The following is a 25,841-nucleotide window of genomic DNA, read 5'->3' as shown; positions in this document are numbered from 1 at the left end:
CTAATCTCAAGTGCCCAGGGACACAAACACTGCGGAAGGCCGCAGGGTCCTCTGCCTAGGAAAACCAGAGACCTTTGTTCACTTGTTTATCTGCTGACCTTCCCTCCACTATTGTCCTGTGACCCTGCCAAATCCCCCTCTGTGAGAAACACCCAAGAATGATCAATAAAAAATAAATTAATTTTAAAAAAAAAGAGAATAAGTGCAAAAATAATTTCCAGAATAACTTAAAGTTTACATTTTGGCCAAGGTTTACATAACTCACAAAAACTCTCTTTCTGATTATATTTCCAATCATCTCCCACTTTGAGCAAGCACATCTTCTTATCACCCCCTATTACCATAATGACTCACAGTGCCTTGCATATTATCAGGAGGGAGAAGTAACTTCATTGCCAATTTGGCCCATAAGGTCTCATAATCATCTTGTGTACACTCTCTGCATTTTTATAATATGCTGCATCTATCTATCCATGACAGCATGTTTTCCAGGTGGGCAGAGGCATCAGTGGTAGCACTAACAGATCATATGAAAATCAAAATTACCTAAGTCCTAAATACCAACTAACTGACAATGAAACATTCAAAGAAAAAAGGGAGCACTTAATTTACCCCTGAGTGGTCTTATTAATAAGGATTGCAGGATGATAAGATTCTGTAAAGTAAAATAAAATAAAAAAATAAGGCTGGGCATGGTGGCTCACGCCTGTAATCCCAGCACTTTGGGAGGCCAAGGTGGATCACTTGAGCCCAGAAGTTCAAGACCAGCCTAGGCAACCAAAACCCTATCTCTACAAAAAATACAAAAATTAGCCAGGTGTGGTGGTTCATGCCTGTAGTCCCAGCTACTCAGGAGGGGGAGATGGGAGGATCGCTTGAGCTGTGATCCTGCCACTGCACTCCAGCCTGAGCAACACAGTGAGACCCTGTCTCAAAAAAAAAAAAAAGAAAAAAAAATGTAAAAAAAAAAAAAAGCCTAATGCTAGGCCTGGCGCAGTGGCTCACGCCTGTAATCCCAGCACTTTGGGAAGTCAAGGTGGGTGGATCACAAGGTCAGGAGTTCAAGACCAGCTTGGCCAAGACAGTGAAACCCCGTCTCTACTAAAAATACAAAAAATTAGCTGGGAGTGGTGGCAGGCACCTGTAATCCCAGCTACCTGGGAGGCTGAGGCAGGAGAATCACTTGAACTCAGAGGGCACAGGTTGCAGTGAGCCGAGATCGCGCCACTGCACTCCAGCCTGGGCGACAGAGTGAGTCTCTGTCTCAAAAAAAAAAAAAAAAAAGCCTAATGCTGATACAAAATTAATACAAAAAACCCAACTGCATGTCTATGTATTTGTAATAAACAATCCAAAAATAAAATTAATGCATAATTCCAGGCCAGGTGCGGTGGCTCAAGCCTGTAACCCTAGCACTTTGGAAGGCTGAGGCGGGAGGACTGCTTGAGCCCAGGAGTTGAAACCAGTCTGGGCAACATAGCAAGACCCTTTTCTCTTTTTAATTTAAAAGTAATATCAAAAAATAAACTTTTAAAAAGGACATAATTCCAGACCAGAAAGAAACAAAACAAACAAAAGAAATAATTCCATTTACATTTACAATAGCATGAAAAAGAATAAAATACTGTATTTAGAAATAAACTTAACAAAAGATGTGTAAAATTTATACTCTGAAAACTATAGTGCATTGTTGAAGGAAATTAAAGAAGACCTAAATAACTGAAAGATACTCCATTTCATGAATTGAAAGACTTAATATTGTTAATTGGTCTACATATTCAACACGAACCCCATCAAAATTCTAGCTGGCTTCTTTGCAGAAATTCACAAACTAATCCTAAAATTCACATGGAAATCCAAGGGCACCAGAATAGCCAAAATCTCTTAAAATAAATAAATAAATAGAACATAGTTGGAAAACTCACACTTCCCAATTTCAAAACTTACTACAAAGCCACAGTAATCAAGAAGCCGCAGTAATCAAGACAAGTGGTACTGGCAATAGGACAGACATACAGATCAATGGAATAGAATTAGGAGTCCAGCAATAAATCCTTGTAACTATGGTCAATTCATTTTCAACAAGAGTGCCAAGAAAATTCAATGGGGAAAGAATAGTCTTTGTAACAAATGGTACAAGACAACTGAATATCCACATGCGAAAGAATCAACTTGAACTTCTATCTCACTACATATACAAAAATTAACTCAAAATGGATTAAAGACCTAAATGAAAGGCCTGAAACTATAAGACTCCTACAGAAAATACAGGAGGAAAGTTCATGACATTGGATTTGGCAATGAAGCACAGGCAACATAGCAAAAGTAGACAAACTAGACTACATCAAATTTAAAAGGCTTCAGTGTCACAACAGAAACAACAGAGTGAAAGGCAACCTATGGAAAGGACAGAATATCTGCAAATCACATGTCTGACTGGGGACTTGTATCTAGAATATATAAAGAACACTTACAACTCAACAATAAAGACAAATAATCCAATTTAAAAATAGACAAAGGATATGAACAGACATTCTTCCAAAGATGTACAAATGACAAATAGCACATAAAAAGATGCTCAACATCAATAGTCATCAAGGAAATGCAAATCAAAACCACAATAAGACACCATTTCTGTATTAACCATGTCTTTTATTTTCTGTATTCTGCCACTGGAATTTTTGCAGCCTTCATGACACTAGAGAGGCTGCTCCTCCTGCCCCCTCATCTCCATCCATTCTCACAACCCCCTCAGGTTTAGCTAATTCCTAGAGATAACAAACACCTGTCTGGGAGCACGCCTTTCATTTGGAAACCAACCAGTCCAGAAACTATGCCTCCAACTTCCTCCTTTAATGGAGTTCTCCCACTCCAGGGCACTATCCACCTGCCCCCGAGTATCAGACAACCAGGGGAAGTCCCTATGCCCCAGAGCCTGCTGAAATTATTTAAACTAGCCAATCCTAAACCTGCTTACCCTGCCTTACCCATTCCTTCCCATAGAAACCAAAATACAGGCTTTTGCCCACATTTCCCCCCTACTCCTTCTGCCTCCTGACCAATCCTGCTGGCTCCCCATGTGAACTTGGGTAGCAAGCCATACCTCCTGTTTCCAGAACTCTGTGAGTATGATAAACTTCCTTCACGACACTTCCATGTCTGCACGTCTTACCATACCTGATTAAAACAAATTCTCGGTATTCTTAACACAACTTCCCACTCACTACAATGGTTATAATAAAAAGACGGGTGTTAAATAATAATATATGTCAGTGAAGATGTGGAGAAATTGTAACCCTCATACTGTTCTAGTGGAAATATAAAATGGTAGAGCCACTTTGGGAAAAAATTTGGCACTTTCCCAAAAGGCTAAATATTTCTGCCCACATGTTTATATTCAAGACCCATCACATTACTGCTATTCAATTAAACCACATACTCTACTGTGTCAGACTATACAGAAGTTGCAGAAATTCAAGTGCCTGTTTATCATGCACACGAAGGAAAAAATCAGCTATAAATTCATTATTTTGAGTGCACAGATATTATAAGCCAAATATGCCATTGGTGGTTAAATTTCCAGTCTAGTCAAAATGGTGAGAAATAATCATTAAATTATTATACTCAATGAACCAATTATATTTTTATATGCAATTATCTACCCTTGTAGAAAAAAAATTAGTAACTCCATACCTTTTTCTCTTTAGACTTCTGGCCAGTATGAGATGTGACATTCTCATTTTGGTGAACAAACTCTTGGGCTACAACTGTTTTTACAGGGTCCCCTTCAAGAACACAGTTAAGAAATTGCACTGTGTGTTCTAATGAATAGCTGTAGAAAATTTAAGTAGAAACATAATGTCAATAAATGAAAATAAGTTGTGTGGGACATTAACACAAGCAATCTTCAAACATCTTACAAGAATATGAAAAACTGGCTTACTTTTAAGTTTTCAACCTTGAAATTAAATGCTCATGGTGTATCTCAAAAAAAAATCAAGAATAATCAGAAGGAAACTATCAAATAATAGGTTCTCAAAAGCTAATTTTCAAAAAATGAATGCCAAAAGATAGTATATTGGTAATTCAGCCAGGCACAGTAGCTCACGCCTGTAATCCCAGCACTTCGGGGGGCCGAGGCGGGTGGATCACTTGAGGTCAGGAGTTAAGAGACTAGCCTGGCCAACATGGTGAAACCCCGTCTCTACAAAAAACCCAAAAATTAGCTGGGTGTGGTGACGCGCGCCTGTAATCCCAGCTACTCGGGAGGCTGAGAGGCACGAGAATCGCTTGAACCCGGAAGGCAGAGGTTGCAGTGGGCTGAGATGGTGCTACTGCACTCCAGCCTGGGCGACAGAGCAAGACTTTGTCTCAAAAAAAAGATAGATAGATAGATAGATAGATAGATAGATAGATAGATAGATAGATAGATTCAATTTCTAATCCTTTATACCAGGCAGATTAGCCATAACAAATCTTTCTTTCATTTTATCACCTATTCTTCTTAAATCCTTTGTTGGATTTATATGTGGTTTCCTTCAAACATCAAACACAGACAATAGACCTTTAAGCTGACATTTTTATTGTGTCAAATTCTACATTTACTTTTACCATGGGATTTTAGTCAAATTCTAAGCAGGGATACAGAAAAGAAAAACTTAAGCACTACCCTACCTCTCATCCCTGCATTATTCAGTCATATCTTGACGGTGATACTATATTATCTGTAGAATGAAATTCTACAAATCAACAAATGTCTGACACACTCACGTTCCAATATCTAAAGAAAATCATTCAAAAAAATTATATGCTGCTCAGTATTTCACACTATTTATGTCTCTCACCTCTTCCATTGGCCAGATACTGAGGAACTGACCATATACGAATATTTTTTGAAATCTGGTTAACTAGGCAGACATGGTGGCTCACGCCTGTAATCCCAACACTTTGGGAGGCCGAGGCAGGTGGATCACCTGAGGTCAGGAGTTCAAGATCAGCCTGGCCAACATGGTGAAACCCTGTCTCTACTAAAAATACAAAAATAAATTAGCCGGGCATGGTGGCGGGCGCCTGTAATCCCAACTACTTGGGAGGCTGAGACAGGAGAATTGCCTGAACTCAGGAGGCAGAGGTTGCAGTGAGCCGAGATGGTGCCACTGCACTCCAGCCTGAACAACAAGAGCAAACTCTGTGAAAGAAAGAAAAGAAAGAAAGAAAGACTGTAAACTAGTTCAACCACTGTGGAAGTCAGTGTGGCGATTCCTCAGGGATCTAGAACTAGGAATACCATTTGACCCAGCCATCCCATTACTGGGTATATACCCAAAGGACTATAAATCATGCTGCTATAAAGACACATGCACACGTATGTTTATTGCAGCACTATTCACAATAGCAAAGACTTGGAACCAACCCAAATGTCCAACAATGATAGACTGGATTAAGAAAATGTGGCACATATACACCATGGAATACTATGCAGCCATCAAAAATGATGAGTTCATGTCCTTTGTAGGGACATGGATGAAATTGGAAATCATCATTCTCAGTAAACTATCGCAAGAACAAAAAACCAAACACCGTATATTCTCACTCATAGGTGGGAATTGAACAATAAGAACACATGGACACAGGAAGGGGAACATCACACTCTGGGGACTCTTGTGGGGTGGGGGGAGGGGGGAGGGATAGCATTGGGAGATATACCTAATGCTAGATGACAAGTTAGTGGGTGCAGCACACCAGCATGTCACATGTATACATATGTAACTAACCTGCACATTGTGCACATGTACCCTAAAACTTAAAGTATAATAATAAAAAATAAAATAAAATAAAATAAAAAAGAAAGAAAGAGAGAGAGAGAGAGAGAAAGGAAGGAAGGAAGGGAGGAAGGAAGAAAGAGAGAAAGAAAGAAAGAAGCAAGAAAGCAAAAGGGAAAGAAATTTGGTAAACTAATTATCCAAAATAATGTGGTATTTTGCTATTCTTCAATTTATTAAAGACAACCCTTGAAAGGAAGCCATGTGCAACTACCAGTTCCACTTCCCCTCTCATCTTGCTGCCTCAGATATGCTCAACACAAAGGATATCAGTATTAGGGGCTGGATGCTACCAACAATTATCCACATCCTTTCTAGGCCTTAAAATCACTCACCTGCTGGAAGTCAGTCTCCAGCCCTGATGTTGTTTGAGGCAAACAGCCCTAGAAGATTACACCTCAAGCACATACTGTAGTAACTGAGCTCACCTACCCTTCTTACCAGGATGAAGCTGAACCTACTGCTAGCTGAGAGAATCAGCCAGCCGTTGGCAGACAAATGGAGGCAATCAGCCACCTAACATGAGGGCCCTGGCTGACCAATCACTGACCATCCCCAGAAGGACACACCCAGCCCCCTCCTTTGCCTGGGGAAGCACAACTCTGAGCTATTTCACCTCAGGCCTCTTGCTCTAGGTACTCATAGAACAGGAGTGGCCATATGCTAGCATCAACCTCTGGCATCTGGGAGATTTTAACACAAAACTCTCAGAAAATAGCAAGTTAGGTAGCAAAAATAAATAAGAAAATTAGGGATTGGAATACTACTTTTAAAGATTTGATTTAGGTGACATATTTAGAACTCTGCACACTCAGCAGAGAATAAATATTCTTAAGTACAGACTGGGCTGGGCACGGTGGTTCACACCTGTAATCCCAGAACTTTGGGAGGCCAATAGGGGAAGAATCCCTTGAGCTCAGGAGTTCAAGACCAGCCTGGGCAACATGGTGAAACTCCATCTCTACAAAAAATATACAAAAACTAGCCAGGCGTGGTGGCACGTGTCTATAGTCCCAGCTACTTGGGAGGCAGAGGTGGGAGGATCACTTGAGCTTAGGAGGTCAAGGCTGCAATGAGCCAAGATCGTGCCACTGCACTCCAGCCTGGGCAACAGCAAGATCCTGTCTCACACAAACACACACACACAAAAAAGTATATGTTGACTACTCCTCATCTGAAACACTTGGAATCAGAAGTGGCTGAGATTTCAGATCTTTCCAAATTTTGGAATATCTGTATATACATAATGAGGTATCTTGGGAATGGGGTCCAAGTCTAAACATAAAATTCACTCATGTTTTTATATGCCTTAAAAATTGGCCAGGGGAGGTGGCTCACGCCTGTAATCCCAGCACTTTGGGAGGCCAAGGTGGGTGGATCAGCTGAGGTCAGGAGTTCGAGACCAGCCTGGCCAACATAGTGAAACCTTGTCTCTACTAAAAATACAAAAATTAGCCAGGCGTAGTGGTGTGCGCCTGTAATCCCTGCTACTTAGGAGGCTGAGGCAGGAGAATCACTTGAACCCGGGAGGCGGAGGCTGCAGTGAGCCACGATGGTGCCACTGCACTCCAGCCTGGGAGACAAAGTGAGACTCTGTTTCAAAAAAAAGGAGAAAGAAATTCCAGGGTAAACAGAAAATCAAACTAAAATTTGAGATTTAGAAAATAATGAAAATTAAAATATGTATCAAAATCAAAACATATAGAGAAAAATTCATACCTTAAATGTATGTTATTAAAGACTGAAAGGAAATAAACTAACCAGAGTTGAAAATATACTAACAAATTTTAAGAGAAAGATATCAGTAAAAAATAAATGATAAGACAGCATAAAATAGACTTTGACCAATAAACCAAGATTCTCTCTCTGAGAAGGTACAAGCCCAGAACCTTCAAGGTACTAAGTTCTTTAAACTTTCCACAGCAGAGGGAAAAATGGCGGGCTGCCAGTTTATTTTATTAAGCCTGACACCAAATAAAACACTGAAACCAAAATCTGACAAAAATAGCCCAGGAACAGAAAAAAAAAAATCACAGACCAACACCATTTCATTACTATTGTAAAAATACCAATGAATTAGTAAATCAATTCCTACCTGCATTAAAGGAAAAAAAAAAAATCTGAAAGTAAAGTAGGTTTTATTCCAGAAATCCATTATTGTGATTGATATGAAATATATTAATAAACTAAAGATCAAAATCTATATTAGATTCTCAAAAGATTCTCAAAAAGTACCTATTTAAAACAAGCTCTTGTGAAGAATTTAAGAAAAATACATGATCAAAAGTATGTATTTTTCAAACCAGAGCATTCCTGATATACCTAACATAACACTACAATAATTAAAACAACACGGTGGCAACTCAGGATCTAACAAATAGCTCAATGGAATTAAAGTCCTTAAAATATATATTTGGAGATGTAGAATTACTGGTTATGTTTTATATAAGTGGGCAAAGATGATCCATTCATTTGGTTAGTCATTTGGAAAGACAAGTTAAATCTCTAGCTCATTTATAAATCTCTACCTCATACCACATACATAAAAAGGTAGACATTTAAAATAATAAAGAAAAATTTTTATAATATTAGGACATAACAGACTCCCTAAATAAAACATAAAACTCAGAAACAATAATGGTAAAGATTTTCTGTCCTGTAACCAATCTCCCAGATACTGAAGGACAACTGTATTTTGAGACACAGAGAGAGAGACCATGTTTACATAACTTATATTACAATATATTGTTATAATTGTTCTATTTTATTGTTAGTTATAGTTGTTAATTTTTTACTGTGCCTAATTTGTAAATCAATTCTTATTTATAGGAAAAAAACATAGTATATAGAGGGTATATAGAGGGTTTAGCTATATTCGTGGTTTCATGCACCCACTGTGGGTCTTGGAATAATACCCACAGATTAGGAGAGACTACTGTAGACTTACATTATTTTTGTTATCAGAAAAATAAACATGGCATATGCTTTCAGTGACATCAGAGTAGAAACTACAGACAATCCTTCTAGCACTCACTTGTGGTCCTTGAAAATGTCCACCAGAAAATTTTGGTTAATGGCTGGAAATATCTTAAAGAGCTGCTTCTCCTTTAGTTTAGTGGCACAATCTTTTTCAAACATAAGGGTCTCCCTTTTCTAAAACAAAAACATAAAAATCATGTTCAAGATGAAATGTGTAATACTAGAAACACTGACCAAAGGCATGGTTAACTTGTTGCAAAACTACTGATGATTTAAAAGCAATCACAGACTTTCTTTACGGATTAAAGGCTGAAATTAGTAATACGAGTACTCTTGCACTATTTATTTATATCTCATTTTTTGCAAAGTATTTGAAGTTGCTTATAAATATACACACACACACACAATCACATGTATACATGTATGTGTGGGCATCTGTATGTAAATATATATACACATACTGTCACACATGCATATCCAACACATTGAATCATTAAAAGGATGAAGATATAGAGGCATATATATACATACACACACATAAACAGGATAAAAATAAATGAAGTCAGAGAAAATAAAGATAAAATATAAGCTAAGGCTAGCAGTATTAGTATATAAATGCATGCCACAAAATCCTGTACAATTGCTACAAGTAGGCCACAAATTTAGTTCTGAGACTCTTAGTGGCCAAAGCAAAGGGGAAAACAAAGATTCTCAGTGTCCATAAAATAAAAACAAACCAGTTGCTCAGAAGTACAGCTTTTTCTGGTACTGAGACCTGAGAGAAATTTCCCCATGGGTCCTCATAAAAGTGACACTGTGTGATGCTGTGAACATCGTCCTCAAAACATATTCTCCTCAATGGGCAGAAACTACAGTGTACAAACAAGCTGCAAATTCAGATTGACAGAAATCTTGGAATTCACAATTTTTTTTTTTCAGTTTTTCACAAATATATTTACTCCAAAATAACTGTATAAGAATTATATTATTACTCACATTTCATATTTGGATCTGCTCTAAACTGTCAGACAAAAAGAACTTTCCTAAAAATATGCTATTTTAATTCTAACCTAAGATGATAATAAATATTCTTAAACATTGTGATATAACAAAATAATTTTGTTTGCTACAAAAATGCTGATGTCTGAAAAATAACTTCCTATACAGTTTCAAAGGCAATAAAATGACTGAAAATTCCTAAATTTAAAAATTACAATAGCTGAGGTAGGAGGATTCCTTGAACCCAAGAGTTCAAGACCAACCTGGCAACACAGCAAGACCCTATCTCTACATAAAATTGTTTTTTAAAAGCTGGCCAGGTGTGATGGCAAGAGTCCCAGCTGAGGTGGGAGGATGGCTTGAGCCCAGGAGGTCAAGGCTAGAGTGAGCTCAGATGAAGTCACTGCACTCCAGGCTGGACAACAGAGTGATACCCTATATCAAAAATAAATAAACAAAATAATCTGGGAAAATGCTAGAATTGTTATTTATTTTAAAGCTTAACCATACTTAGGCCATTTATAACACCAAACAGCAATAAAAGAGGAACCACAAGAGGTAACAATATGACTAAAAAGGAGTGATAAAGCTGAACATACAACAAGAGTGATGGAAACAAGCTACCTGAAGAATTTAAAATATTTCTGGCTGGGTGCAGTGGCTCATGTCTATAATCCTAGCACTTTGGAAGGCCAAGGTGGGCAGATCGCTTGAGCCCAGGAGTTCGAGACCAGCCTGGGCAACATGGCAAAACCCCATCTATACTAAAAATATATTTTATTTTTGGCCAGGTGTGGTGATGTGCGCTTCTGGTCCCAGCTACTTGAGGGGCTGAGGTGACAGAATTGCTTGAGCCCAGGAGATTGCGCCACTGCACATTCCAGCATGGGCAACACAGTGAAACCCAGCCTCAAAAAAAAATAAATTAAAATATTTCACATTTTACTTAAGATATGCATGTAATCTAAACTTACTAAAAAATTCAATCATCAGATTTTCTACCAATCTATCGGGTCAAAGTTTCTAAACTATAAATTCTGAGGTTTCATCAATGAACTAAAACCTTGTAACCTTAATCATCTTAAAATTAATTATTCTATTCATATATTATGTCTAAAGTTATATTTTTTGCTTTAAAAAATATATACAAAGTATATTTCTCCTTTGGGGACAAAGAGTGAGGACAGCATCAGGAAATTATCTGGCTGAGTGCAGTGTCATTTACACTTACAATCCCAGCACTTTGAGAGGCCAAGGTAGAAGGACTGCTTGAAGCCAGGAGTTCGAGACCAGCCTGGGCAACACTGCAAGACCTCATCTCTATTCGAGAAAAAAAAGAAAGAAAAAAATTATCTTTCTCAGGCTGCATGTGAAGGTAAAGGTGGGTATCCTTGGGACAAAGCCAACCAGCTTCTATTATATTACCCAATCTACAGAAAAACAAGAAAAGGCCAGGTGTGGTAGCTCATACCTATAATCCTAGCACTTTGGGAGGCCGAGGCAGGTGAATTGCTTGAGCTCAGGAGTTTGAGACCAGCCTGGCCAACATGGTGAAACCCCATCTCTTCTAAAAATACAAAAATTAGCAGGGCGTGGTAGCAGACACCTGTAATTCCTGCTACTTGGGAGGCTGAGGCAGGAGAATCGCTTGAACCTGGGAAGTGGAGGTTGCAGTGAGCCGAGACTGTGCCACTGCACTCCAGCCTGGGCAACACAGCGAGACTCTGTCTCAAAAAAAACAAAACAAAACAAAATAAAAACTAGCAGGGCATCGTGACTCACACCTGTAGTCCCAGCTACTTGGGAGGCTGAAGTGGGAGGATGGCTTGAGCCCAAAAGGCAAAGGTGCAGTGAGCTGAGATGGTGCCACCGCACTCCAGCCTGTAACAAAGCCAGACTGTGTCTCAAAAAAAAGAAAAGAAAAAGAAAAACAAGCAAAAATCACTGATAGCAAAAAAAAGGAGTAAGTTGTGAAGTCAAAAGATGCTCATTTGTTCACCTATTACATCAAGATATTAAAGGGAGGGTAGAACTGTAAAGACAAGTTTTAATAGTGGAAAATGGCATTTCAATAGAAAGTATCACACCATTTAAGCCTAAGTGTTAGAGTTTCCTTATTTTATTTATTTATTTTTTTTTTAAAGAAAATCCATTGCTGGCTGGGTGCTGTGGCTCATGCCTGTAATCCCAACACTTTGGGAAGCCGAATCACTTGAGGTCAGGAGTTCAAGACCAGCCTGGCCAACATGGTGAAACCCTGTCTCTACTAAAATTACAAAAATTAGCTGGGTATGGTGGCGCATGCCTGTAATCCCAGCTACTTGGGAAGCTGAGGCAGGAGAATCACTCGAACCCAGGAGGTGGAGGTTGCAGTGTGCCAAGAACGCACCACTGCACTCCAGCCTGGGTGACAGAACGAGACTCAAAAAAAAAAAACAGAAAGAAGAAAGAAAATTCATTGCCTCAAATTAATACATATATTAATTGAAGAGGCTATTTGACAGGACACTAAAATTTTAAGATCTACTGAAGAGGTTATTCCTTGGATTGCGTTAGGATACAAAGATGGGAATGGCAGTATATTTCTAATTTAGTTAACCAAGATAAATTTAAAAAATAAATATGAAGGTAGAGCAATCCCTATGCCTTAACTGGATGTATTACAGCCAAATATAAAGGTGCTCCTTTGTGCAGTCAAACGAATAAGAAAGTGTTAAAATGTTTTAAGAACACCATCTAAGAATTATTCTTTTCCCTTGAGAATTAGACTAAATAACCTCTAAGATGTTTTCCCTTTTGACCTGGAATTCTTTAATACTAATTTTCAGAATTCCAGAAAAGAGTAAGACGAAATCCAAACGAAATCTACTGCAAGTATGGCTTCATATATTTAGATATTTTGAAATAAAGACCAAAAATAAAATTCAAAGTGAAGCTTCTATTTGAAAAGGAAGAGTAATTTTTTTAATTCAAACTCATAAGTTTCTAAAATTTTTCTCTAAAATATTTTGTTTTGGCCAGGAATGGCGGCTCACGCCTGTAATCCCAGCACTCTGGGAGGCCGAGGCAGGTGGATCACAAGGTCAGGAGATCAAGACCATCCTGGCTAACACGGTGAAACCCCGTCTCTACTAAAAAATACAAAAAATTAGCCGGGCGCGGTGGCAGGCACCTGTAGTTCCAGATACTCAGGAGGCTGAAGCAGGAGAATGGCATGAACCCGGGAGACGGAGCATGCAGCGAGCCAAGATCGCACCACTGCACTCCAGCCTGGGCGACAGAGCGAGACTCCATCTCAAAAAAATATATATATATATTTTCTCAGAGATAGACATCTTTAATAGTAAGATAGACATTTCTTATTACTAATATATATAATTATCTTTAAATAAGATTTCCTTCATGTTTTTATAGAAATAAAAAAATAGAGGTAAATATTAAAAGCTGAAAAAGATGCAGCTGGCTGGGCATGGTGGTTCATGTTGATAATCCCAGCACTTTGGGAAGCTGAGGCAGGAGGATCACTTGAGCCCAGGAGTGTAAGACCAGCTTGGGCAACATGGCAAGACCCCATCTCTACAAAAAATAAAAGTAGCCAGGCATGGTGGCACATGCCTGTGGTTCCACCTACTTGGGAGTCTAAGACAGGAGGCTCACTTAAACCCAGGAGGTTGAGGCTGCAGTGAGCCTTATTGTACCATTGCACTCCAGCCTGGGCAACAGAGCAAGACCCTGTTTCAAACAAATAAAATTAAAAAAAAGAAAAAAAGAAGAAGAAGATGCAGCCGGTCAGGCACAGTGGCTCATGCCTTTAATTCCAGCATTTTGGGAGGGCAAGGCAGGTGAATCACTGACCCCAGAACTCGAGACCAGCCTGGGCAACATGGCAAAACTGTCTCTATAATAAATTCAAAAATTCGTGGGCATGGTGGCTCATGCATGTAATCCCAGCACTTTAGGAGGCTAAGGCAGGTGGCTCACTTGAGGTCAGGAGTTTGAGACCAGCCTGGCCAACATGGTGAAACCCTGTCTCTACTAAAATTACTAAAAATTAGCCAGGCATGGTGGCACACATCTGTTGTCCCTGATTCTTGGGAGGCTGAGGCAGGAGAATCGTTTGAACCCGAAAGATGGAGGTTGCAGTGAGCCAAGATTACACCACTGTACTCCAGCCTGGGCAACAGAGCGAGACTCCATCTCCAAAAATAAAATAAAAATACCCAGGCATGGTAGTCCCTGTTACTCAGGAGGCTGAGGTGGGAGGATCACTTGAGCCCTGGAGGTCAAGGCTTCCATGAGCTGTGATCACGCCACTGTAGTCTAGTGTGGGCAACAGAGCCAAGACGATGTATCAAGAAAAAAAAAGGTAAAGAAAAAGAAAGATGCAGCTCAATCACCTATACAGTTAAATCTAAAACAACACAAACTTAACATGGATGGCTTATAGTTGAGTATTAACTAATTTCCCTGAAGCAAAAACCTCCAGCTTCAAATTATACTTAAAATATTTTTCAATTTTAACATTAAATTCAATCAGGTTAAATATGGATTCTAGACTAGAAAATACTTTGAAAAAATCACAAAGTAAACATACACAATAAACCAGAATCAGAGACAGTAGCTTAATATTTATATTAATTCATACCAAATTATGTTTTTCCTGTAAGGCAATTTCTTCTGACATTATTTCTCTGAGTGATACTTTTTTAGTTTGAGTATTCCAATGATCCAATAAAGGTAGCATTTCAGATGCTGTTAAAGTCTTCAGTAATTTTTTGCCTGTTCTCTGAGATGATTTTTGTTCAGGATTATCAAGCCCAGTATGTCCAACCAAGGAAGGATCTACAAAGTAGTATAAATACTGTCATACTCTCAACAATAAATGTATAAATTAAACATTATTCACTCTGTTATATTTACCTCAGAGACCAAGGAAACAGTTTTTTAATTTTCAGTTTGTAAATATAACACAACTCTGAAATTGTAAAATACATCTTCACGTCATCGCAAGTAAGAAATAGTATGTGTTAATGTAGCAATATTTTAAAAGAGTAATGATCTGTGTATAATTTTTTTTTTTTTTTTTTTTGAGACGGAGTCTTGCTCTGTCGCCCAGGCTGGAGTGCAATGGCGCAGTCTCGGCTCACTGCAACCTCCGCCTCCCAGGTTCAAGCAATTCTCCTGCCTCAGCCTCCGAAGTAGCTGGGATTACAGGCGCCCGCCACCATGCCTGGCTAGTTTTTGTATTTTTAGTAGAGACGGGGGTTTCACCATGTTGGCCAGGCTGGTCTTGAACTCCTGACCTCAGGTGATCCGCCCGCCTTGGCCTCCCAACGTGCTGGGATTACAGGCGTGAGCCACCGCACCCGGCCAGGCTGTGTATAATTTTAAACTGACTCAATGCTTCCCACTCTTTTTCATATCATATCAACCCAAAACATAGTGACATGTATACAGGACACTGGTAAATAGAGGAAGTTGTAGCCAGCTGGAAGTGAGCAACCATAACAGCTACAGTCTGCTCTGGCCACCCATTCTAAGGACCAAGAAGATCGATTACTTTGGCAAACCTGTAACTCAGTGAAGGCACACAATAAAGAGTGGGCAAATGATATTCAAAATAAGGAACTGAACATTCTAGGAAGTTCACAACAACAGAATTTAATGTGTAACATTTCAACTTCTCAGAGGAGTATCAACACATTCTGATACATTCCTCTGCTGTCCTAGAGAGTGAAGAAACAATAGACACTGGCATTTGCACACCATCCTTTGGGCACCTCTATCCCTACATCAGCTGTAGCTCTTGAGGCTATGACATGAGCACAGGTCTGGACCAAAGTGGATCCTAAGAATCTTCAAGGTGAAACTCCTTGCCTTGGTCCCAGTGTGGACTGGACAACAGAGGCATGTGGAGGAACTCAGGCACAAAAGGAGGATGCTTAATAACAGGTCTGCCACCCTGCAACAGTCACTGAAGACAACACTATCTAAGAGAAGTCATCTGGAATCAAATATTTTCAAGTTGGCAGGATGTACCAAAAAGCAGGCTGGGTTTTGTGGTCTAACAATACTGACATCAATAAAAACTTTGAATAACCAAGTAATATTTCAATGATGTTCTTGATCAAACACATGAACACTCTGTTGCTCTCAAACCAAAAGTTTTCTTTCATGCAGAGCAAAACCTCAACAGGAAATGCTTTGAGAGCATACCCTAGGTGTTCCACAGCACTCATGAAAGTTCAATATACATTATAGGGGCTTTTTCCCCCTTTAAGTTTTATTTTATTTCATATCAATAAAATATTAAATATTTTTAAAGAACTGGCTGGGCGCAGTGGCTCATGCCTGTAACCCCAGGACTTTGGGAGGCCAAGGTGGGCAGATCACCTGAGGTCAGGAGTTCAAGACCAGCCTGACCAATATGGTGAAACCCCGTCTCTACTAAAAATACAAAAATTAGCCAGGTGTGGTGGTGCGCACCTGTAGTCCCAGCTACTTGGGAGGCTGAGGCAGGAGAATTGCTTGAACCCAGGAGGCAGAGGTTGCAGTAAGGCAAAATGGCACCACTGCACTCTAGCCTGGGCGACAGAGCAAGACTCCATCTCTAAATAAAAAAATAAATAAATAAATAAATAAAACTTTTATTTGCAAATCAAAATTTGTGGGTACCGTATTTTGTGGAAGTAATTTAGAATGAGTTAAAATTCAAACACACACACCAAATTTCAACATTAAGACATTAGAAATAAAAACATGTGCTTTACCTTGCATAAACTTGCCACAAGACACCTCTTCTTGTCTTTGTCGCTCCTAAACACAAAAGCCAGGCAAGAGATTGGCAAACAGGGAGTGCATTAGTAAACAAGGATACAAGGTTATATTATTTTTCTCTAGAAATCATTTCTCCTTGTATAACTGTAAACCATTCTTACTCAATCTAAGTAAAACAATAAAGTTAGATAATAAAAATTATGAAGTATGACTACAGCTACATATTTTTTCCACTTCTAGAATGGTAAAAATACTGCATTTAAAAAAAAAAATTTCTTGTTATGAAGAATGGTCTGAAAAAAATTTTTAAATAAATTAAGAACTGTCTTTGAAATTTAACCAATCAGCATTGAAGTCTTTAATTCTGGGAGTGAAAAACTCACTGTTTATAATTATTTTCTTAAAAAAAAAACAGGTCAGGCACAGTGGCTCATGCCTATAATCCCAACACTTTGGGAGGCCAAGGCAGGAGGATCACTTAAAGCCAGGAATTCAAAACCAACCTGGGCAACATAGTGAGACCTTGCCTCTACAAAAAAAAAAAAATTACCTAGGTGTGGTGGCAGGCACCTGTATAGTCCTACCTACTCTGGAGGCTAAGGCAGGAGGATCATGTGCCCAGTAGTTCAAGGCTGCAGTGAGCTATGATTGTGCCACTGCACTCAACCAGGGCAACAGAGCTAGACACTGTCTCTAAAATAGAAAAAAGATATAAAAAAAATCAACAATTACAATGAGCTCCATCGCTAATTATATAATTTGGCTGTCTGGAAATACTTAAACTACTGAAAAGAGAGAAAAAAAAAGACAGTAATCTGTTAAATGGTACAAGTTCATTCTCTCTCAAAGTCAAAATTCAATAGAACTCTTCCATCTCAAAGCCAAAATTCAATAGAACTCCTTAATATTATGTGGTAGATTTCACTGAAATTCAAAGGTTCAAAATGGACAAAAAAGGAGCTCTTTATAAAAAGAAGCCTACCAACCATTACAGATTCTTTCCATTTCTCATGAATCACTTTCGCCAGATTCAGATCTATATGAACCACACAATCTTCAACTGTTAGAGACCCTTGTGGGGGAAGGGGGAGGGAAGAAAATGTAATCATTACTCATTATATATTTGCAGAAAACATACTAAACCACCTTATGCATCACAAAACTAACTTGTACTATTAATTCCTAACTTATGCTTCTATTTACTAAATCTTAGAGTATTTCTATTTATGTTATATGCTATGTTACTGTCTTCACACTTCTTGACTACTGCAGTTATACAAAGCTTCACAGTAAATCTAAGTTATTCCTTTCCATGAGTCTAAATATGTTTACTTTATTCATTTCTATTAGTCAAGACTTTTCAATAAATATGTTCTAAAAAATTAATCTTGTCTTAAATGTATCTGGAGTAGCACCAAAGGATTTTAAAAGGTTCATCCGTACAATTAAGTGTGAAGTAAATACCAGAGAAAACGTTCAAACTATGTATGGGATAAATACAAACTCCATATAAATATTCTCTATTTCTTCCTATTGTATTTTTTAAAGTCCTCCAGAAATGTGTCAAAAATAAGGCACTATGTGAAGTTAGGCAACATAAAATTACTTTTGCATTTCAGTTAACATAGAATATAATTTTACAATCAAAATAGAACTCTCTAGCCAGGTACGGTGGCACATGCCTATAATCCCAGCTACTCTGGAGGCTGAGGCAGGAGAATCACTTGAACCTGGGAGGCAGAGGTTGCAGTGAGCCAAGATTGAGGCACTGCACTCCAGCCTGGGCAACAGAGCGAGACTCCATCTCAGAAAAAAAAAAAATACAAAATAGAACCCTCTGTAGTCTAGTCACACAAAGACACACACATGGTCATTTACTTTTTCCTTACCTGAATCAATACCAACAGGACCAAATAATTCATTAAGTTGAAAAGCCAGTTCAGGGGGTAATGCCAATTCCAGACAGTCTATGGTCAGAGATTTGGCCATCGCTGGAGTGGGATTCAATATCTCGGTTTTATCTTCCCCACTAACTCCAGCTGATAAACTACTTCCTGCCATTAGAATTTCCTTCATTTCCTTCTCATCTTCATTCATAAATTCTTCTTCATCTGAAAATTTCACATAATCCTTTGGAAAATTTTCATTTCTCTTTATTTCAAGAGAATCAGTAAAATAAATTTCTTCATTTAATTCAAGATTTGAAGTACTAGATACAAAGTTAAAAATATCAGAGAAATGTGAAGGAGAATGTATGTTGTCTCCAGTCTCTGTGACTACTAGGTTTTTTTCTGTTTCACTCATATCTTTAGGAGTAGTAGCTTTTAGAATACCTGGAAAGGACTGCTTACTGCTATATAAAAGTTCTTCCTGGCTGTTAGGAAGTATGTCATTATTATTCTTTAGACCCACAGCAGCACTGGGAAATATACTTGTCATCGATTCATGGTTTTCAGGAGTGACAGCTCTCATTTCCGCCTGCTCTGAGTTTCCTCTTTCTGCATCACAAGTAGACTGTGAGTCAGCGTTACTAATACCAATCCCATGGCTAAACTCTGGCACAGGAGAATTAGAATTCTCTAAAGTTCCTCTTTGGCTAATAATTTCTTTCAAATTCAACCCCAGAGAAAAAGGCCCAATTTGTGATCCATCACACGATTTTTGGAAATTCTCAAACTCTGTATCCTCACATAACTTAGTTTCAGAATCCAACAAAAGGCTTGTGGCCCAAATAATATCTTTATTGCACCTCTCATATAAGTCTTTCAGGGCTTCTAATGAAAAGGATCCAAACAGTTTACAAAGAATGTTAAGATTTTCAGATTCATCTGCACTGGTAAGCTCACTTTCTTCAACAAACGTGCTTTTATCATACATTACTCTATATGGAATTGCTTCTTGAACGTCTGATTTTGTGTTAATATTGAAAACTTTCGGCTTAAATCCATCTAATCTTCCTGTTAATACTTTGATAGAATCTGAAATGCTAATTTTATTCTTTTCTATTTTCCATAAAAGAGCAAAATCCTGTGGTTCAGTCTGGGTGCACATGCCTACTTCTTTTCCAGGGTCTCTCTTAGGCATTTGCTCTTGACATTCAGCTAACGTTTGTGGTTCTACTACTCCAGAAACAGTTGGTGCACTATTGGTAAAAGTAAGAGGCAACGATGTGTGTTGCCCATGACTCTTTTTACTTAGACAAGTCTGACTCTCACAGGTCATTTCACTGAGCAGCATTTCAGAACTTCCTAGATTGGAGCTACCCAATGTCTTTAGTTTTTGAGAGCTTGTGCCCCAACAGGCCTCATGTGCTGTAGATAAGGATATTTCATTCATTTTGTCATTTGTTCCAATTTCTAGGTTGGGCTCACTTAAACCAGTCTTTGGCATTCTTGATCTGTGTTCCCTCTGAGCTAAAGAATCAGATGAAGGCCAGTCACCCATAATGTTGAATGAGTTTTTGTCAATATTTTTATAAGCATCATATTTATAGCTATTGAGTGGCTCTGAAGCATCATCACACTGTGACTTTCTGCCATCCTCTACACTTTCATGTGGAGATCCTCGTTGCTGGACACAATCTGTATTCACAGATACACTGTTAACTAATTTGTGTGACTGAGGGTAATTATACTTTTTGTCGCTTTGTACGGATGAAGTTTTTTCAGTTTTTCTGTTCCTTTTTGTCCTCTGACCAATAGTCTTATCAACTGGCCAGTCACCAACAAAATTTGATAGCTCATGTCTTGGGAACTTTTCCAAAGTCGATTTGCTTTTTTGTTTCCCAAAGGCTTTTTTCGTTACTGTTGCTCTTTCTTCCACTATTTCACCAGGTGAGGATTTTTCATTTTGAAGTGGTCCACTATTTGCAAGATCACAGTCTTCTTGATTATTTTCACTACAGCAAGTACTAGGTGATACTCTCTCCATAGAACTATCTGTGTCAGTTTTACTATACCCTTTTACAGCCACCATTTCTATTTGCTCGTTTTCACTTTTGTCTGTTGCCTGTAGTTTGCTTTCAGAGTCAGAAAAATACATGTGTGGAGTTTCCAGAATTAAAGCACTTTGAATGCTAGGATTCATATCACTTATTTCTTTTCTTCTTTTGTTTAAATCTGCATTAGAGAGATATGCAACATTCTCAGGTAACATTGTTTCTTTGGTTACATCAAGATTCTTCTCTTCAGTGAACTCTAGATGCTTCAAAGATAAAGATAAAATATTTTCTTCTTTTTCAGAGATAATATCTTCATCGTCTCTTGGGCTGTAAGATTATTTTAAAGAGTATCATGAGAAAGTCTCTTAATGCTGCCATCAATACTATGATTTAAAGAAGCATTAATTGACAGGGCACTTAACAGTTATTCTGAAAATTTTATAAATAAATTACATTAAAATTATAAAAGCTAATTCTGATCTTTCTCTAATACCCTATGAACACATTACATTGTTGTAACCCCATTACCTAGCATGATGCTTGGCATATATGAAGCACTCAAACTTTTTTTTTAATTGAATAGTACATATGAGATTTTCAGTTTAGGTGTTAATTATGCATTAAAGTTAAAGCTCTGAATTTGTTCCCAGGAGAGGACACCACTTTTCTAGCTTCTTTCTGACCTTAGTTTTACATAGCTAAGCATATGTAAAATAGGTCTGATACCGAGGAAGCTTCATTTACAAAGTCACAAAGGGCCAACCAACGCTATTTGCCCGATTAAGAGAAATTAGAAAAAAAGAGCTTTCATTTGAAATGTCATTTGGTAAGATTTTTTAAAGCCATACTTAATGTTAATTTCAGACTCAGAGCACTTGTGCAAATCATTATACTCTCAACTTTAGTTAATTTTTCTCGATTAAATTTGTCAATGCATTTCCTCTTTTTTTTAACTTCAGGAGTGCTCGAAGTCCCAACTCTCGCAGGATGCCTTCCTAAGTGAAATCATACCTAACGCTGAGTTTTCTATGTGTTAGATGATGCTACTTTAAGTCCCTTGCATGTACTAATTCATAATCCTTATAAGATTTTTATGAGCAGAGTGTTATTACTGGCATTTTAGAAATGAAGAGCTGAAGTACAGAAAGATTTGTAACTTGTCAGAGATGACAAAGCTTTGGGACTTTTTGAACCCAGGAAATATAGCTCAAGAGTCCATGCTCTTAACCACTTTGCAACACTGTTTCTCAATCAAAAAAGCATTTATAAATTTTCTCTTCCCCATTCCCAACTCCTTTTTAACAGAAGCTCTCTATCCCTTACCATCAAAACATATGGATAATTCAGACCTGTGGTTTCTTCTTTACTCTGTCTGTCAGTTAATGCTGTTTTTATTTATTCAATTGTTTATGTGTCTTCGTTGCTAAACAGAATCAGTGCTACCTTGGATTGCAAATTGTCAGAAGGCCATGACTTGTATTACTTGGTAAAAGTGTACTGTTAATAATTTTTATAACACTAGCTTGAAAGAGTATTTTCATTAAAACTTAAGGAAATTAAGAAGTGATTTGAGTGGATACAAAATAATAACAGCGAGAAGATAAGGGAAATACTGGATTAGCAGCGAGCGTCAAGTAAAACTGGCAGGAGAATTCATAGCATAATCACGGACTCACAAAACTCTGAGGACAATAAAAGAACTGTCATGTCATCTCTCATATGAACTTGTACTTCTCTTGATAACTACATATATCCCACCCTAGGTAAGACTATAAGTAAATCCTTAAAAATAACAAAAGTCCACCTTATTTATTTATTTATTTTTTGAAATGGAGTTTTGCTCTTGTTGCCCAGGGTGGAATGCAATGGCGCAATCTCGGCTCACCGCAACCTCAGCTCACCGCAACCTCTGCCTCCAGGGTTCAAGCAATTCTCCTACCTCAGCCTCCCAAGCAGCTGAGATTGCAGGCATGCGCCACCAGCCAGGCTAATTTTGTACTTTTAGTGGAGACGGGTTTCTCCATGTTGGTCAGGCTGGTCTCGAACTCCTGACCTCAGGTGATCCACCTGCCTCGGCCTCCCAAACTGCTGGGATTACAGGTGTGAGCCACCACACCCAGCCAAGTCCACCTTATTTTTAAAGTTTATCAGCAATGATTCCACAAGCTCCAAAATTATACCTTTTAAAAATTATATTTCAAATTGAATTTTGTACATAAGGCATTTTAACCTACCTAGTGCTTCTATCCTCACAAGAATATGCACACAACTCAATACGTTCAATTTTCTCTGGAACCGAAGAACTCATAATTATTGGCACTGAAACAAAACGTTGATAATGTTCCAACATTCTTGTTATTTTTTCTTTGCTTACCCCATGAATGTTACGCCTGAAAATTCCAGGGGAAAAAAGGGTTGAAGGAATATTGATAATTAAGTTTTTAAAAATCAGAACATATGTCTAGGAAAACAATAATATATTTCTAATAGATACGAATATCAAAGCTGCTTTATTGTGACCACAATATATACAATTTGATTCTAATTTTCATTTTATTAAGGATTTCTTAAATTATACACTTAAGTTCAAACAAAGAAAAAAAATTCTAGTATTTGAAGTTTCTAGATGTTCAAATATGAAGTTAGTTGTTTGTGTTTTCACTCATAGTGCCTTTTTCAAAAATGTTTTTTATTATAAGCTCATATTTGGTTGAACTTAATATATGAGAATTCTGAGGCCTTCAACTCGGAGTACTTTCACACAGCATCTAGGTTTATACCTGCCAGGAGGCCAGATGTTATGCTTTAGCCCCTCAAAGGTTTGGTCTTAATGAAAACATCTCAATTGCAACTTTCCTGTCTTGGGTTGAATTCAAGGCTTTGTGACTGGATCCCAGGGATAATATATGCATTTGCCAGTTGGGCAAATCTGGCTTTCATATTTACCTACCTCGATCTTGTCTGGTTTCAGATCACAGAGAAGCAAAGAGATAGAAAATATGAAAGAGAGGTTAAGGGTCATAGGAGCCAGAGCCAAAAGTTCTAGTATACATCTAATCTAAGTCCCGGAAAGAGAAGAGAATGCATGGGACGGAAGCAATGTAAAGAAAAATGCTGAGAATTTTCCAGAACTGATGAAAAACACCAATCCCTTAATTTCAGAAGCCAACAAATGCCAAACAAGATAAAAAAATAAGAAATCCATAACTAGAAACATAGTACTGAAATTGTCATTCACCAAAGACAAAGAGATGATATTAAAAGCAACCAGAAATTTTAAAAAATCATTTTAAAACTAGTTATCTACAAAGAAACAATTAGAATGACAGCTGACTTAACAACAATAATAATGTAAGTCAGAAGGGAGTGAAGTGTTATCTTCAACAACAGAAAATAACTGTCAGTATAGAATATACATATCCAGCAAAAGTATCTTACAAGAATGAGGGCAATAAAAAGATCTGCAGATTTTAAAAAAAGAATTTGACACCAAGCAGACCCTTACTATAAAGAAAATTCTCAAAGATGAACATCAGGCAGAAGGCAATTCCCAGATGAAAGGTATATGATGCAAGAAAAAAATGAAGCAGAAAGCAATAACTAGATGAATAAGTGAAAATAAACACTACCTGTATATTCTGGACAATGAGAGCATGTAAATTGAGAGGGAGGCAAGTGTCAGAATTAAAATGTTTTAAAGTCTTCGTATGCGTGAGGAGGAAAGCCAAGAAAATGGTTTGACTTTAGATTTAAAGTCTGCACAATTTCCAAATTAGTAGAGAAGAAAAAAATTTAATACAAAAATTTGGAAACAATTTTAAAAATTTTAAATAAGGCATGATAGGAAAAAAATCCAACTACATCATTTTCTATAATAGAAGAACAATCACAGAAAAGGCGAGATAAACAAAAAGCACAGAATGAGACAAGATCAATTATATGAATAATTCTAAGAAACAAGATCAATTATATGAATAACCAAAATAACCATAAAAGAACTAAGTTTATCAGTTAAAAGTCAAGGTGGACAGAGTGGATTTCAAAAAATCCAGCCATCATGCTTACAAGAGATACATCGAACATAAAAATATTCAAAGTAAAAGTATGAAAAAAGAAGTAACAAATACTAACTAAAAGGAAGCTGATGTAGGTCTATCAATATTAGACAAATTACACTTTACAACAAAAATCACTACTAAAGACAAAAGAAAATCACTAGAAAATAATAAAAGGTTCAATTAATTAGGGTGATATAAAAATCTTAAGCTTGTATACATTTCAAAAACTACCCTCCAAATATGTAAAGCAAACATAGGCAGAATTATAAGGAGAAACCACAAGTTCAACATAATAAAGGGAGATTTCAACATTCATCTCTCAAATACAGGAGATATGAGTAACAATAAGCATGATTTAATGGATATATTAACACATTGTAATCATGTACATTCTTATCAAGCAAATATGAAATGTATAAAAAATCAACACTTAACTAGGCCAAAAAAATCTTATAAATGTCAGTGAATCATACAAACTACACAACCTGACCTACTGTAGTTAAGTTGAAAACCAATTTTTATAAAAGACAAAACACTCATCTGTTCAGAAATTTAAAAACACAGTACGACATAACCCAAGAGTTAAAGAATGAAATTAATCATAATGCAAACTAGAAAATAACTAAATAAGACAAAAATAAAGTATTATATATTAAAATTCTGAGAGCAGCTAAAATAATACATATGAAAATTTTATTTTATTGGGAGACAGAGTCTCGCTCTGTTGCCTAGGCTGGAGTGCAATGGCACAATCACAGTTCATCACAGCCTCGACCTCCCAGGCTACAGCAATCCTGCCACCTCAGCATCCGAGTACCTGGGACCACAGGCGAACGCCACCATACCCAGCTAATTTTTTTATTTTTTGTAGAGTCAGGGTCCCACTCTGTTGCCCAGACTAGTCTCAAACTCCTGGGCTCAAGAAATCCTCCTGCTTCAGCTTCCCAAAGTACTGGGATCACAGGCAGGAGCCACCACACCTGGCATACATAGGGAAATTTTAACATCAAATGTCATATTAGAAAATGACCTAAACCTTCAAGTAGAGAAGTTTAAAACACAAGAGAATAAAAAAAGCAAAATTGATTTTTGAAAGCAATAAAGGTAGAATAATGAGAAGCAGAAATTAATTAAACATTAGAAAACTTACGATGGAGTTCAAATAAAGCTGAGACTTGTTTATCTGAAAAGGCTAATCTGATCTCTGATGAGAATAACAAAGAAAAAAGAAGGAAGATAATATAAACATACTAAGATTGCAGGAGG

General features: G+C 37.5%; 1 protein-coding gene across 12 annotated transcripts in view, besides 1 other annotated feature; it reads right to left on the bottom strand.

Moving 5' to 3' along the window:
• N4BP2 (NEDD4 binding protein 2) overlaps nucleotides 1–25,841 on the bottom strand; it is a 133,621-nt gene that overhangs the window by 49,695 nt on the left and 58,085 nt on the right. For all 12 annotated transcript variants that reach the window (XR_007057942.1, NM_001318359.2, NM_018177.6 and 9 more), the window contains 7 exons: nucleotides 22,752–22,907; nucleotides 18,467–20,844; nucleotides 17,564–17,649; nucleotides 16,571–16,616; nucleotides 14,446–14,642; nucleotides 8,857–8,975; nucleotides 3,694–3,832 (listed from right to left, as the gene is read on the bottom strand). Coding sequence is in view for 11 of the 12 variants with exons in the window: in NM_001318359.2 (NP_001305288.1) it covers nucleotides 3,694–3,832; nucleotides 8,857–8,975; nucleotides 14,446–14,642; nucleotides 16,571–16,616; nucleotides 17,564–17,649; nucleotides 18,467–20,844; nucleotides 22,752–22,907 (3,121 nt within the window). In the remaining variant the exon portion in view is untranslated. The remainder of the gene's footprint in view (nucleotides 1–3,693; nucleotides 3,833–8,856; nucleotides 8,976–14,445; nucleotides 14,643–16,570; nucleotides 16,617–17,563; nucleotides 17,650–18,466; nucleotides 20,845–22,751; nucleotides 22,908–25,841) is intronic.
• Nucleotides 984–1,577: an enhancer, noted in NCBI's record as "H3K27ac-H3K4me1 hESC enhancer chr4:40140819-40141412 (GRCh37/hg19 assembly coordinates)". NCBI's record gives its function as "activates a minimal SCP1, AML or CMV promoter by ChIP-STARR-seq in primed H9 embryonic stem cells {active_cell/tissue: H9 hESC(primed)}" and the evidence as "EXISTENCE:reporter gene assay evidence [ECO:0000049][PMID:30033119]".

Source organism: Homo sapiens, chromosome 4 (genome assembly GCF_000001405.40).
Source record: "Homo sapiens chromosome 4, GRCh38.p14 Primary Assembly".
Taxonomy (NCBI): Eukaryota; Metazoa; Chordata; class Mammalia; order Primates; family Hominidae; genus Homo; species Homo sapiens.
Note: the sequence above shows the minus strand (reverse complement) of the source record. Positions and strands in the feature narration are given on the sequence as shown.